Consider the following 15,044-nt stretch of genomic DNA (forward strand, 5'->3'; position numbering starts at 1 on the left):
AGAGCAGGGAGCCTCATCTCCTGCCCTCAGAGGGTTCTCCACTCTGATGGGGGAGGATTGAAGACAAGGGACCAAAGGAGGAGGCACTGGCTCTGCTCCAAGGAACCCCAGCCTGTTGGGGGCGATAGAGCTGCTCAGAGCTTTGGCCGGCAGGAGGCGGTGTCGGGCAGGGCAATGGTGGGTGGTGCGTGTGCCCTCTGCAGGAAAGGAGAGGAGAGCGGGCCTGGCAAGCCGGTTGAAGCCTAGCTGGGTGGAGAGTGGGAGGTGGTGTCCCAGGGGCAGGGAGCTGGCTGGGAAGCAGGTGTAGGCGGTTGGGCCCTGTTTACACAAGCAGGGGCCAGATTCCATGTTATCCATGTGCCTGGCATTATATGAGCTTGGCCCAAAGAGTGTGTCTGAAATGCATAGCTGTGAGGTTGGGGGACGTGTGCATGAGTGAAAGGAAGTCAGACCCCTTTGGGTCACCCAGGGGTGAGACAAAGCCTGGAAGGGGCGGGAGGTAAGGAGCAAGGCATGAAGAATCTGGAGACTCAGACTATGTCACGTCTTGCGTTCCCTGCCCGCCTCAGACCTGTGCCACAGGGCGTGCCCACTGTGTGTGGCTAGAGTGCCCCATCCCTGATGCCCCCGTTGTCACCAACGTGACTGTGAAGGCACGAGTGTGGAACAGCACCTTCATCGAGGTCAGTGCCTGGGTCTGAAGGTCTCTCCTACCATCCACCCTGAGGGGGAGAACAACAGGGAGAGGGCGAGTCCAGGGTCATAGCATGGGTGTGTGTGTGTGTGTGTGTGTGTGTGTGTGTGTGTGTGTGTGATTTGCGTGTCTTTGCATGGATGTGTATGTGTTTGTCCCCAGCCAAAATGACCTTTCTCGTGTCCATTATTCTGTTATGTGTCCATTACTGTCCCACCTCCATGCCTTTCCCCAGGGTGTTCCTTAACCCTGGAATGCTCATTTCCCCTCTTTTATCTCTGCGTGTAAACCCCTATTTTGTTTTCAAGGTCCCTGTCAGATGCTTCACCATCAGTGAGCTCTTTTCTGGCTTTTCCAGCTGAAAATGACCTCTCTTCCAATGGCCACCCACCTAACTTTCTCAGAAGCCACACATGCCATTTATCACGCTCGACTCTGGGTTGCAATGCCTCACGTGCCCACTTTCTCATGCCATCTAGACCAAACTTTTTCTGTACATGACTAGATTAGAAATCTTTTCAACTTGGCGGGCCATAGAGTTTCTGTTGCAACTACTCAGTACTGCCATTGCACCACACAAACAGCCATAGACAAATGAATGGGTGTGGCCGTGCGCCAAAAATACTTCATTTACAACAGCAGGTGCCAGTCCAGATTTAGCCCACAGGCCTGACCTAGACTGTGACCTTCATTGTTTCGGTTGTCCCCAGCATCCAGCACAGGACCTGACGCAGAAATGAATGAACAAATAAATGAATGATGCGCATTTGTGTGTGGAGGGGAGGCCTGGCTGACAGATCCTTTGGGGTGCTGTTTAAGGATGCTACTTGGTGGGAGGGTGATGGGGTGGGAAAGCTTAGGGTCGGAGGTAGGCTCAGAGAAGTGTCAAGTGTTCCCCTTGACCCACCCCACTCCCAATCCAGGATTACAGAGACTTTGACCGAGTCCGGGTAAATGGCTGGGCTACCCTATTCCTCCGAACCAGCATCCCCACCATCAACATGGAGAACAAGACCACGTGGGTGAGTGCGCATGTTCACTAGGACAGCAGTCTCCAGCCAGAGCTTGAGAGTACAGGGCATCTTTTAAGAGGACACTGACGCACTTCAGCCATATGGTTCTCAATCTTGGCCACACGGTAAGAGTATCTGGAGGAGTTCTGGTGTCTGGACTGCACCCAGAGCAATTAACCCCGGGTCCCTGGGAGTGGATTCCGGGATTGCTGTGTTTAAAGGTCCCCCAAGTGATGCTAATGTGCAGCCAGGGCTGAGAACCACTGCATTAGCTTCCTTGATCTGCACAACGCCTCCATGAAGAGTAGGGCTGGGACTGCCTCTCTATTTTATGGCTGAGAGGCTGAGGCCTAGAGAGACTTGAGTGGCCTCCCCAAAGTGGCACAGCTTGTCAGGGGCTGGAACGTGGGTCTCCTGATTATCTCACCCATTGTCACATCCACTATGGACCTGTGAGCTTCCCGCCACGGGCAATATGTATGTATAGAGAGAAAGGCAGGATATCAAGGCAGAATGGAGGGAGGTTCAGCCATGAGAACCTGGTGAGTATTGACAGATGATGTCATCATCTACGTGGCAGAAAAGAGAAGCAATGGAAAAGCTATTATTTTATTTTATTTTGCTTCAGAGATGGTGTCACTCTGTTGCCCCAGCTGGAATGCAGTGTAGTCCTGAACTCCTGGGCTCAAGAAATCCTCCCACCTCAGCCTCCTGAGTAGCTGAGACTACAGCCATGTACCACGATGCCCAGCTAATTTATTTCTTTATTCATGTATTTATGTATTTATTTATTTATTTATTTTTTGAGATGGAGCCTCACTCTGTGGCCAGGCTGGAATGCAGTGGCGTGATCACTGCAAGCTCTGCCTCCCTGGTTCATGCCATTCTCCTGCCTTGGCCTCCCAAGTAGCTGGGACTACAGGCGCCCACCACCACGCCCGGCTAATTTTTGTATTTTTAGTACAGACAGGGTTTCACCTTGTTAGCCAGGATGGTCTCAATTTCCTGACCTTGTGATCCACCTGCCTCGGCCTCCCAAAGTGCTGGGATTACAGGCATGAGCCACTGTGCCTGGCCTAATTTTTTATTTTTAGTAGACATGAGGTCTCACTGTGCTGCCCAGCCTGGTCTTGAACTCCTGGTCTCAAGTAGTCCTCCCACCTCAGCCTCCCAAAACACTGGGATTACAGGTATTAGCTACCACACCTGGCCCAAAAAGTTATTAGACCCAATAAGATAATTCAGGAAGTCCAAGAGGTCAAAACAAGATCAAAATACCCAAACCCCCTAGGTTTCCTACATGCTAGCAATAACCAATCAAAAGGATAGTTGAAAAGATCCCATTCAAATTCATCAGAAAAGTGATAGAGCATCTGGGAATAAATATAACAAATATGCAGCAAAAACTTGAGAAATGATTAGAAAAAAGTCAATATTGTATTATCAAGTTGTCAGATCTTCCACCCAAATTATTCCAGTCTCAGTAGGATTCAGGAAACTTGAAAAAGAAGTTCCCAATCTTGAATCTGAGTTGCATCTAGAAGAATAAATATAAAATTGCTAATAATTTGTTGTGAAAAGGATATAAGTGAAGATACGTGGGAGATACTTATAGGGAGATGAATGCAGGGTTGGTTATGTACATTATTGTACATTTCCTAAGATCAATTAATGTAGTATAGAAGAGGTAGAAGAAGGGCCAGAAAGATCAGTGGAACAAAATAGAACTTTATGGTACAGATGGCATTTTTAATCTGTGGAGAAAGGTAGATTATTAAGTAGTGTTGGGAGAACACATTTGGAAAATAAAGACAAACCTCTACTTCACAACATAAACAAAAATACAGTTAGATTAACTATCTACATGTAGCAATTAAAACCTAACATGCCAGGATACAATATACAGAACACTTTAATAGTAACCTTTAATTATGGGAAGAGTGAGTTATAAACCCAGAAGTCACAGGAAAATTTTGATAAATTAGACTCTATGAAAATTTAAATCTGTATACAGCAAAAGAGATAGTAAAGAAACTAAAAGAGGCTGGGCACGGTGGCTCACACTTGTAATCCCAGCACTTTGGAGACTGAGGCAGGCAGGTTGCTTGAGCCCAGGAGTTCCACATTAGCCTGGGCAACATGGTGAGACCTTATCTCTACAAATAAAAACAAAAATTAGCTGGGTGTGGTGGTGCACACCTGTAGTCCCAGCTACTTGGGAGGCTGAGGCAGGAGAATCGCTTGAGCTCAGGAGGTTGAGGCTGCAGTGAGTCGTGATCATGCCACTGTATTCCAGCCTGGGTGACAGAGTGACATCTTGCCTCAAAAAAAAAAAAAAAAGAAACTAAATGGGCAAATGATATACTGCTTTTTAAAAATGTTTACAGCATATATGACAAAATATTGATATGTATTTTTTAATATATAAAGGATATCAATTGGCAGCGTACATAGGGTGAAATACAAATGTTCATCTTGCTCATAAAGAAATATAAATCATAGCAACAAGATTTTTCTTGCCTATCAGATTGGGAAATATTAAAAAAAATAATGCTGGCCAGGCGCTGTGGCTCACACCTGTAATCCCAGCACTTTAGGAGGCCAAGGCGGGTGGATCATTTGAGTTCAGTTCGAGACTAGCCTGGGCAACATGGTGAAACCCCATCTGTATTAAAAATACAAAAATTAACTGGGCGTGGTGGTGCATGCCTGTAATTCTAGCTACTCAGGAGGCTGAGGCAGAAGAATCGCTTGAACCTAAGAGAGAAATGTAGTGAGCCAAGATCACTCCACTGCACTCCAGCCTGGACGACAGAGTGAGACTCTGTCTCAAAAAAAAAAAAAAAAAAAAAAAAAAGAATAATGCTGTCTAATGCTGATGAGGTGGAGAGAAATGCTATTGATTTGGATGATAAATTGGTAGATTCTTTTAGGAGACGAAGTTTTCAGTATCTATTAAAATTTAAAGTGCCCATTTCCTTAGATCCAGTACATGAGAATATATTGTAAGGAGCTAATAGGACAAGTATACAAAGATAAATATATGGGGATATTTTAGATAATTATTTATAATGGCAGAAAGTTGGAAACAATCTAAATGTCTTTCAGTAGGAGATTGGTTCAATAAATTATGGTACATTTCCTTCAATGACTGTGCAGTCCTCAGAAGAGATTAGGCTGATCTTTACCAATTGACGTGAAAAGATGATGATATTAAGTGAAAAAAAAACAGGTTGCTGGCTGGGCATGGTGGCTTATGCCTATAATCCTAACACTTTGGGAGGCCAAGGTAGGAGGATCGCTTGAGCCTAGGAGTTTGAGGCTATCCTGGGTAACAAAGTGAGACCCATCTCTACAAAAAAAATCAAGAAATTATCTGGATGTGGTGGCACATGGTCCCAGCTACACTGGAGGCTGAGGCAGGAGAATCACTTGAGCCCAGGAGGTGGAGTCTCCAGTGATTCATGTTTGTGTTATTGCACTCCAGCCTGAGCAACACAGTGAGACCCTGTCTTAAAAAGAAAAGAAAGAGACCGGGCGTGGTGGCTCACGCCTGTAATCCCAGCACTTTGGGAGGCCGAGGCGGGCAGATCACCTGAGGTCAGGAGTTCGAGACCAGCCTGGCCAACATGGTGAAACCCCGGCTCTACTAAAAATGCTGGGGTGGTGGCGGGCGCCTGTAATCCCAGCTACTCAGGAGGCTGAGGTAGGAGAATTGCTTGGACCCAGGACACAGAGGTTGCAGTGAGCCAAGATCGCACCACTGCACTCCAGCCTGGGCGACAGAGTGAGACTGTCTTAAAAAAAAAAAAGAAAGAAAAGGGAGGAAGGAAGAGAGGGAGGAAGGGAGGTTGCTGAAGGGTGTATGTGACATGATCCCATTTATGTAGATCATATTAATATTCCATATTTAAAACTATGGAAAGAGATTCACCAGAGATTACAGAGATCGTAATTTCTAGATATTAAAATTACTGGGAACCAGCTGGGCATGGTGGCTCACGCCTGTAATCCCAGCACTTTGGGACGTCGAGGCAGGTGGACCACTTGAGGTCAGGAGTTCAAGACCAGCCTGGCCAACATGGTGAAACCCGTCTCTAGTAAAAATACAAAAATGAGCTGGTTGTGGTGGTGGGCACCTGTAATCTCAGAAACTCAGGAGGCTGAGGCAGGAGAATTGCTTGAGCCCAGGAGGCAGAGGTTGCAGTGAGCCAAGATTGTGCCCCTGCACTCCAGCCTGGGCAACAGAATGGAACTCTGTCTCAAAAAAATATATATATTATAGATTTATAATATATATTAGATTATACATTATAGATTTATAATATATATTAGATTATACATTATAGATTTATAATATATATTAGATTATACATTATAGATTTATAATGTATATTAGATTATACATTATAGATTTATAATGTATATTAGATTATACATTATAGATTTATAATGTATATTAGATTATACATTATAGATTTATAATGTATATTAGATTATACACATATAGATTTATAATATATATTAGATTATACATATTATAGATTTATAATATATATTAGATTATACATATTATAGATTTATAATATATATTAGATTATACATATTATAGATTTATAATATATATTAGATTATGTTATATTATAGATTTATAATATATATTAGATTATGTATATTATAGATTTATAATATATATAGAATATGTATAATATATATATTAGATTATATATTATACATGTATAATATATATATTAGATTATATATTATACATGTATAATATATATATTAGATTATATATTATACATGTATAATATATATATTAGATTATATATATTATACATGTATAATATATATATTAGATTATATATATTATACATGTATAATATATATATTAGATTATATATATAACTGGGAACCTTTAGTTTTCTTTATATCATCTGTATTTTTAAAAAAATCATCAAAATAATTTTAAAAGAAGTGAAAATCATGTATAGTCAGAACAAACACGGCTGGGCACAGTGGCTCACACCTGTAATCCCAGCACTTTGGGAGGCCAAGGCAGGTGGATCACCTGAGTTCAGGAGTTTGAGACCAGCCTGGCCAACATGGTGAAACCCTGTCTCTACTAAAAATACAAAAATTAATTGGGCACGGTGGTACACGCCTGAAATTCCAGCTACTTGGGAGGCTGCAGCAGGAGAATTGCTTGAACCTGGGAGGCAGTGGTTGCAGTGAGCCGAGATTGTGCCACTGCACTCCACCCTCAGCAACAGAGCAAAACTCCATCTCAAAAAAAAAAAAAAAAAAACCTCATATACACACACATCCGTATTTATCTCCATTGTAGGGGAAGAAAAAGAATGGGACTATCAGCCGGGCATGGTGGCTCACGCCTGTAATCCCAGCACTTTGGGAGGCCGAGGTGGGCGGATCACCTGAGGTCGGGAGTTCGAGACCAGCCTGACCAACATGGTGAAACCTCATCTCCACTAAAAATACAAAATTAGCCAGGCGTGATGGTGCGTGCCTGTAATCCCAGCTACTCGGGAGGCTGAGGCAGGAGAATCGCTTGAACCTGGGAGGCAGAGCTGGTGGTGAGCCAAGATTCCACCATTGCACTCCAGCCTGGGCAACAGAGCAAGACTCTGTCTCCAAAAAATAAAATAAAATAAAATAAAATAAAAAGAATGGGAATATATGCTATGAATTCTTTGTGGGGTTTTTTTGGTGAATATTTATGGAGTGTTTGCTGTGTAGCAGGTGTTGCTCTAAGCAGTTTTCTTATATCAAACACACTTAATTCTCCCCAGCAACCTATGAGAGAGGTAATATTCCCATTTTACAGATGAACAACAGAGAGGTTAAGTAACTTGCCAAGGCCAAACAGCTCGTGAATAGCAAACCTGGGCTAGAACCCAGGTAATGTGGCTCCAGAACCCCTGCTTTTGGTCGTTCTGCTATTCTATGAGGTAGTCATTATGATCCCCCTCATCAGAAAGCAGAAAGCATGAGATTCAGAGGGGTGCAATTACTTGTCCAAGGTCACACAGCTCATCAGGGAAGGAGCTGGTACCCAGGCCCAGATGTGTGGGTCACACACCCAGACTCCAGGCCACCTCCCAGATCTGAGGCCGCTCCTCTGGAGTCAAGTCTGTGCCTGGGAGAAGCAGGAAGGACCACTGGACCTGCTGTCAGTGGGGCAGGCACAGGCTTTTTCCAGTCCCAGGCTGCCCCCTACTGGCAGCAGGACAAACAGCAGGTGCCTGGGCCCAGCTAGGATAGGAAGGGTGAGGATGGGCCTAAGCAGGCTGACACAGGGCTGAGTCCTCCTCTCCCCGCTCCAGTTCTCTGTGGACATTGACTCGGAGCTGGTGGAGGAGCTGCCGGCCGAAATCGAGCTGTGGCTGGTGCTGGTGGCCGTGGGTGCAGGGCTGCTGCTGCTGGGGCTGATCATCCTCCTGCTGTGGAAGGTTAGTAGCCCAGCCCACTCCTGCTCCGGGACCTCCACCAGCACACTCACCAGCCCTTCCTCCAACCCACGTCTCCCCATCCTGGTCCTCCCTTCCATCTCACCCCCACCCTTCCTCCCTGTCCTCTCCACCTTCTACCACCAGCTTACAGTCTCACCCCTGGCCTGGGTTAGTGGGGGGAGCTGCAAGCTGGAAAGGGGGACCCAGGAGCTCTGGCTTCTGACCACACCACCAAGCTGGGACTGAGCCCCAGCCCCCAGGCTCCCCAGCCCTAAAGCCCTGGTCCACGAGTGCTGCTGGTGAGGATAGCCCAGCGCCCCCCTGATGGCCCGTCCCCACCTCCTCCCCTCCGCAGTGCGGCTTCTTCAAGCGAGCCCGCACTCGCGCCCTGTATGAAGCTAAGAGGCAGAAGGCGGAGATGAAGAGCCAGCCGTCAGAGACAGAGAGGCTGACCGACGACTACTGAGGGGGCAGCCCCCCGCCCCCGGCCCACCTGGGTAACACGGCCTCCGGGCCCCCTTCCCCGAGCCCCACAGCTGGCCGGGCCTCTGACTCTGTCCTATCTGCTCCTCTTCCCTTATGGGCCTGCTCTGACCTCATTCTGTCCCCACCACCACCCCAAAGATCAGGTCACTCTGACTGTCCCTCCAGCCCCCTGGGTGTCTGGCTTTCATCAGCCTCCCCCTAAGCCCCTTGGTGACTTGGGACCCCATGAGGGAGGCATAAATCCTCTCTGTGATGACCTTGCTTTCTGGGGATTGGAACAAGGTCAAGGGCAAGGCCAGGCCCCATCTCTGTAAACCACAGCCATGTCCAGAATAATTCTACACTCCCATTTCCACCCCTAGGGAAGGAGGGGAGCAGTAGAGACCCTCCTCCTGGGAACTAGCCTGTTTCCTCCTGAGCAACCCTTCCAGGATAACAAATGGACCCATTCCCAACATTGTGGTCAGGGTAGACTGCCCAGTCTTCCTGGCCATTCCATCCACTGTCTCTGCAGCTGCCCTCGGTCTCCATCTGCCTCTTCCTCTGCTCTCTGCCTTCCTCAACTCCTTCTTCCTCTGGGGCCTGGGGTGGAGAAACTCATCCTCCGTATCTCAGTGCAGAGAGATGGGATGCGTTTCGGTCAAGAGTTCTGGCTTTGAGGAGTTCTGGGTGGGAGAGGGAGAGGCCTGGCACTCCTTCCTGGTGGCTCAAACTCTGGATGCTAATGTTCTTTCTCTTCTCCCTCCAACTCCAGTGTGACTTCTTTAAGCGGACCCGCTATTATCAGATCATGCCCAAGTACCACGCAGTGCGGATCCGGGAGGAGGAGCGCTACCCACCTCCAGGGAGCACCCTGCCCACCAAGAAGCACTGGGTGACCAGCTGGCAGACTCGGGACCAATACTACTGACGTCCTCCCTGATCCCACCCCCTCCTCCCCCAGTGTCCCCTTTCTTCCTATTTATCATAAGTTATGCCTCTGACAGTCCACAGGGGCCACCACCTTTGGCTGGTAGCAGCAGGCTCAGGCACATACACCTCGTCAAGAGCATGCACATGCTGTCTGGCCCTGGGGATCTTCCCACAGGAGGGCCAGCGCTGTGGACCTTACAACGCCGAGTGCACTGCATTCCTGTGCCCTAGATGCACGTGGGGCCCACTGCTCGTGGACTGTGCTGGTGCATCACGGATGGTGCATGGGCTCGCCGTGTCTCAGCCTCTGCCAGCGCCAAAACAAGCCAAAGAGCCTCCCACCAGAGCCGGGAGGAAAAGGCCCCTGCAATGTGGTGACACCTCCCCCTTTCACACTGGATCCATCTTGAGCCACAGTCACTGGATTGACTTTGCTGTCAAAACTACTGACAGGGAGCAGCCCCCGGGCCGCTGGCTGGTGGGCCCCCAATGACACCCATGCCAGAGAGGTGGGGATCCTGCCTAAGGTTGTCTACGGGGGCACTTGGAGGACCTGGCGTGCTCAGACCCAACAGCAAAGGAACTAGAAAGAAGGACCCAGAACGGCTTGCTTTCCTGCATCTCTGTGAAGCCTCTCTCCTTGGCCACAGACTGAACTCGCAGGGAATGCAGCAGGAAGGAACAAAGACAGGCAAACGGCAACGTAGCCTGGGCTCACTGTGCTGGGGCACGGCGGGATCCTCCACAGAGAGGAGGGGACCAATTCTGGACAGACAGATGTTGGGAGGATACAGAGGAGATGCCACTTCTCACTCACCACTACCAGCCAGCCTCAGAAGGCCCCAGAGAGACCCTGCAAGACCACGGAGGGAGCGACACTTGAATGTAGAATAGGCAGGGGGCCCTGCCCCACCCCATCCAGCCAGACCCCACGCTGACCATGCGTCAGGGGCCTAGAGGTGGAGTTCTTAGCTATCCTTGGCTTTCAGAGCCAGCCTGGCTCTGCCCCCTCCCCCATGGGCTGTGTCCTAAGGCCCATTTGAGAAGCTGAGGCTAGTTCCAGAAAACCTCTCCTGACCCCTGCCTGTTGGCAGGCCCACTCCCCAGCCCCAGCCCCTTCCATGGTACTGTAGCAGGGGAATTCCCTCCCCCTCCTTGTGCCTTCTTTGTATATAGGCTTCTCACGGCGACCAATAAACAGCTCCCAGTTTGTATGCAGCTGCATCTGCTTCCACCCACTCCCCAGCCTTTACCAACCCCAGGTCAATGGATGATGATATCATCCAGCCAACACCTAGGTAGGATGAAGCCAGGTCTGGGGACTTGCGGGTTTGAGGGTAAAGATTGATGGAGGTGGCCAGGTGCAGTGGCTCACACCTGTAATCCCAGCACTTTGGGAGGCCAAGGCATGCAGATCACCTGAGGTCAGGAGTTCAAGACCAGCCTGGCCAACATGGTGAAACCCTGTGTCTACTAAAAATACAAAAGTTAGCTGGGCGCAGTGGCGCATGCCTATAATCCCAGCTACTTGGGAGGCTGAAGTAGGAGAATCACTTGAACCCAGGAGGCAGAGGTTGCAGTGAGCCGAGATCGTGCCATTGCACTCCAGCCTGAACGACAGAGCAAGACTCTGTCTCAAAGAAAAATAAAAAGATTGATGGAGGTGACACTGGCCCCTGCTCTCAGGAATCCTCTCATCTAAGGGTCAGTCATAGAGATCCAGAACAGAAGATGAGGGGTAAGCCTTGGGAGACCTGGATGAAACCCAGAACGCCTTCTTGGAGGACAGCGTGCTGACCCTGGGGAGGGACGAGCAGGCAGAGGTGGCAGTGTGCAGGGTCGGGAAGAGGTAAAAGCTACTCAGCTGTAGGAACAGGCAGTCCTGGCAGGCTGTGGAGGGAGGCTGGGTGCAAGGGTGGAGAGAGGAGAGCCCTTAGTCGGGCTGAATTCAGGTAAGAGCCTGCTTTCCTGCCTTGGTTTCCCCACAACCACCACCAGACGCCAATAAGAGATCAGAAGGTAAACCACTGATCCAAGGCTGCAGAGACTGAACTGTCACAAGGTCCAGCCTCCAGGAGCTGAGAGCTCTGGTCTTTCAGAAGCTCCTTGGGAGTGTTTGAGCGCCTGGCTTACATGGCAACAGCACGTGGATCAAGCCTTCGCTTTGCTTCCTGCCATGTCCTGGGTTCCCAAAGCAGCTTCCTCCTTTGCCCTCGGTTTGTCCCCTCCACACAGGCCTGGGGAATGGAGTAAGGCTGTTCCCCCTGTGACCTGGAATGTGGCCTAGGTCCTTCTGTTAATTTTCCTTAAGGCTGTGAACTTTGGCAAGACTTCACTGGAGGCTGGAAATTGCTACCCAGAGAAGCGCAGAGGTAGAAGCCAGGTCAGATATGCTCAGAGCTCACAGACCCAGGCTGTTCTGGGAGACCCACCTGATGCCTGGGTGCCTCCCAGCCTCCTTGTGGTGGCAGCTGCCTGCCCCACCTCCCTCCACCAGCGCTCAGCTCACAACAGGGTTCTGGGCCCAATGTCCGCCCCTTTCCCTCTCCTCACTTTCTGTGCCGGGATTTGCCCCTTCCCAGGGTGACTGACAATGGAATGTCCACTTTCCCAAGGAAAACCCTAGCCCCTACCCGGAGCTGCCAAGCTCTCAGAACCCAGTGAATGGAGACCACACTTTATTTTCTAGAATCTGGGATCCAGTTCTTTGGGCATAACATGTGTGGGTTGTCAAAGCTCGGCCCAGTCTTGTCCTTACAGCCACTTCCTGCTTAAGACAGGGGTGTTGACACATCCCTCTGGCCAGTTTCACAGACCCCCTAGTCTCCTGTGAGCCACTGCTTGAGGAAGACCCCCCCCACACACACACACACTCTTGAGGATAGGTCATTTTCAGAACTAGCGTGAGCTACATATTATGAAAGAAACATAACTGGCAGAGATATAGCAATGCCCACTGTAAAAGAACCCTCTGCAATGCCAAGTTTCTTGAGCTCCTTGGAGAGTCCCCCCCCACCAACCCACACTGTACATATAGTGGGAGATTTGGGAATCGGTGGGGGTGCAGTTTACCTCGGCATCACCTAACCAAACTTGACTATGATGTACCACATCACACCACTGCTGTTAGCACCCTGCAGCAGGCTCTGCAGAAAGAGTTCTTATCCAAGCACAGAGCCCACATTATGGAAGTCCAGCCTAAGGTGAGGGTCATGGGAAATCTCTTTCCCTCTCCTACACCTAGCCTTAGAGGCCACGGCCTTTTCCTTGTTACTTTAATTTTGACAATAACAGCAATAGCTACCATTTATTGCTAGGCACAGAAATAAGCCTTTTTTTTTTTTTTTTTTTTTTTTTTTGAGACCGGGTCTCAGTCAGTTACCCAGATTGGAGTGCCGTGGCACAATCATGGCTCTGGCTCACTGCAGCCTTGACCTCTGGGGCTCAAGGAATCTTCCTACTTCAGCCTCCCAAGTAGCTGGGACTATAGGTACATGCCACCACACTCAGCTAATTTTATATTTTTTGTAGGGACAAGATCTTGCTATGCTGCCCAGGCTGGTCTCGAACTCCTGGGCTCAAGCAATCCTCCTACCTCAGCCTCCCAAAGTGAGGGCCAGGTTTTTTTGTACATAATATTCTATATATTATTCTGTGCACTTGAAAACTGCACTCACCAGCATCATCAATCACGTCCTAATTGCTAGCCCAGTGGATGTTTGGTGGTTCTCTGGAATATCTCTGTGGTGTGCTCCTCTGCTTGCCCTGTCTTCTTTTTCACCCTGTCCTCCCTACTAGGTGCTGAGTACTGCCTGATGCTAGAGATAGGGCAGTGAATAAGACAGATACAACCCCTGCCCTGCCCTCACGGAGCTTAAAGTCTAGCGGGAAAACAGATCAGTTGGCAAACAATTTTCACTCAATTGATAAGAGCTACCATCAGCTCCTTTTAACCCCTCCTTCCTGGATTTGTCCAGGTAGCTTTCAGCCAATCCCTTTCCTCGACGAGGTACCTGTTTCACATGTCCTGATCTTTCCTTGTCCTCTCTTAAGGGGTCTTGTGGATTCCCAGTCTGGATGACAGTGACCCAGACTGCGAATATTTGCTAAGACCAGGAGATCTAAGGAGCCCTTGAAGGGAGCCTATAACCCAGCTTGGCAGGATCAAGGAAGGCTTCCAGGAGGAAGGGATGACTAAGCAGCTGAGACCTGAAGAATGGGCAGGTGAAGGTGGGAAGAAAGAATGATCCAGACAGAAGAGATGCATTTGCAGTGGCTTAGAGATTAGAGGCTGGTTCAAGGCAGCAGACAGGTATGGCTGGGAGCTGCATGGGGGAATGTAGAGAGAGGAGTCTGGAGAATTAAGCAAAAGTCAATCGACTTGTGACAACTGGAAAGGCTCCAGTAAGAAGAAGAGAGCCATTGATGGCCTAGCACAGTGCCTCATACCTGTAATCCCTGCACTTTGGGAGGTTGAGGCGGGCAGATCACTTGAGGTCAGGAATTCAAGACCAGCCTGGCCAACATGGTGAAACCCTGTCTCTACTAAAATTACAAAAATTAGCCAGGCATGGTAGTACATGCCTGTTATCCCAGCTACTTGGAAAGCTGAGACAGGAGAATCGCTTGAACCTGGGAGGAGAAGTTTGCAGTGAGCCAAGGTTGTGCCACTGCACTCCAGCTTGGACGACAGAGGGAGACTCAATCTCAAAAAAAAAAAAAAAAAAAAAAAAAATAGCCCATTGAAAGGCTGTGAGCAAGGAAGTAATAAGGTCAGATTTGCAGTTGAGAATGATCCCTGAGTCTCGGTTTTCTTATCTATGAAATGAGGCTAAGAATAATAAAATAGAGAATTAAATGAGATAATGCCTGTAAACAGTGCCTGGCATATAGCTTATTATTCATCCAGCTAAGAGGCCCTTCCATATGTGAAGCTTTGCTCTGTGAGGTCTGTATTACAATCACATTCAGTTATAGCTAATTATTTACTTATGTAGCTATCTCTGAAACTTAGAAATGAAATCATCGAGGAAAAAGGCCATTTCTTGATCCTGTCTGTGTTCCCTGTTCCCAGCATAAAGCCTAACACGTATTAGGCTAATGTCACCGAGCAAAGAAAGCATCAAAGTGGCGGGTCGGGCCCTAAACCCACGATGGGAGATACCACATTCGGCCACAAGAGGGCGCGTCACATTTTCTCCAAGAGAAGCTGGGCCGCTGATGAAGGACGGGCTCCGGGCCTCCCAGAGACACTTCACCTCCTGGGATCTTGCTCTAAGGAAGCCCGGTGCGAAGGAGGTGGCTTTCTCAGGTGGTCGCGCTAGATGTCCAAGGCTTTATGTTCGGTCAGATGAGCTGTATAATAAAATGAAAGTGTTAACTGGCATGGACGATAGCTGCTGCCTCCACCGCCACTAGTAGTGATGGTTTTTACTCTGGATGTTTTTCAGTTGGAAAAGCAAACTCCGC

At 48.6% G+C, this 15,044-nt stretch overlaps 1 protein-coding gene and 1 long non-coding RNA gene across 3 annotated transcripts in view, besides 1 other annotated feature; both read left to right on the top strand.

Moving 5' to 3' along the window:
- The window catches only part of ITGA3 (integrin subunit alpha 3), a 34,372-nt gene extending 23,583 nt beyond the window's left edge, over positions 1–10,789 (top strand). For both annotated transcript variants that reach the window (NM_002204.4, XM_005257308.3), the window contains 5 exons: positions 570–683; positions 1,618–1,716; positions 8,052–8,177; positions 8,533–8,674; positions 9,418–10,789. In NM_002204.4, coding sequence (NP_002195.1) covers positions 570–683; positions 1,618–1,716; positions 8,052–8,177; positions 8,533–8,643 — 450 coding nt within the window. In that variant the 3' untranslated portion in view covers positions 8,644–8,674; positions 9,418–10,789. The remainder of the gene's footprint in view (positions 1–569; positions 684–1,617; positions 1,717–8,051; positions 8,178–8,532; positions 8,675–9,417) is intronic.
- Positions 13,170–14,961, top strand: LOC124904024 (uncharacterized). The gene is made up of 2 exons (XR_007065837.1): positions 13,170–13,887; positions 14,650–14,961. It is a non-coding gene; the product is annotated as an uncharacterized LOC124904024 (long non-coding RNA).
- Positions 14,818–15,027: an enhancer, noted in NCBI's record as "active region_12377". NCBI's record gives its function as "activates an Ori minimal core promoter by ATAC-STARR-seq in GM12878 lymphoblastoid cells {active_cell/tissue: GM12878}" and the evidence as "EXISTENCE:reporter gene assay evidence [ECO:0000049][PMID:35858748]".

This window comes from Homo sapiens, chromosome 17 (genome assembly GCF_000001405.40).
Source record: "Homo sapiens chromosome 17, GRCh38.p14 Primary Assembly".
In the NCBI taxonomy this organism is placed as follows: domain Eukaryota; kingdom Metazoa; phylum Chordata; class Mammalia; order Primates; family Hominidae; genus Homo; species Homo sapiens.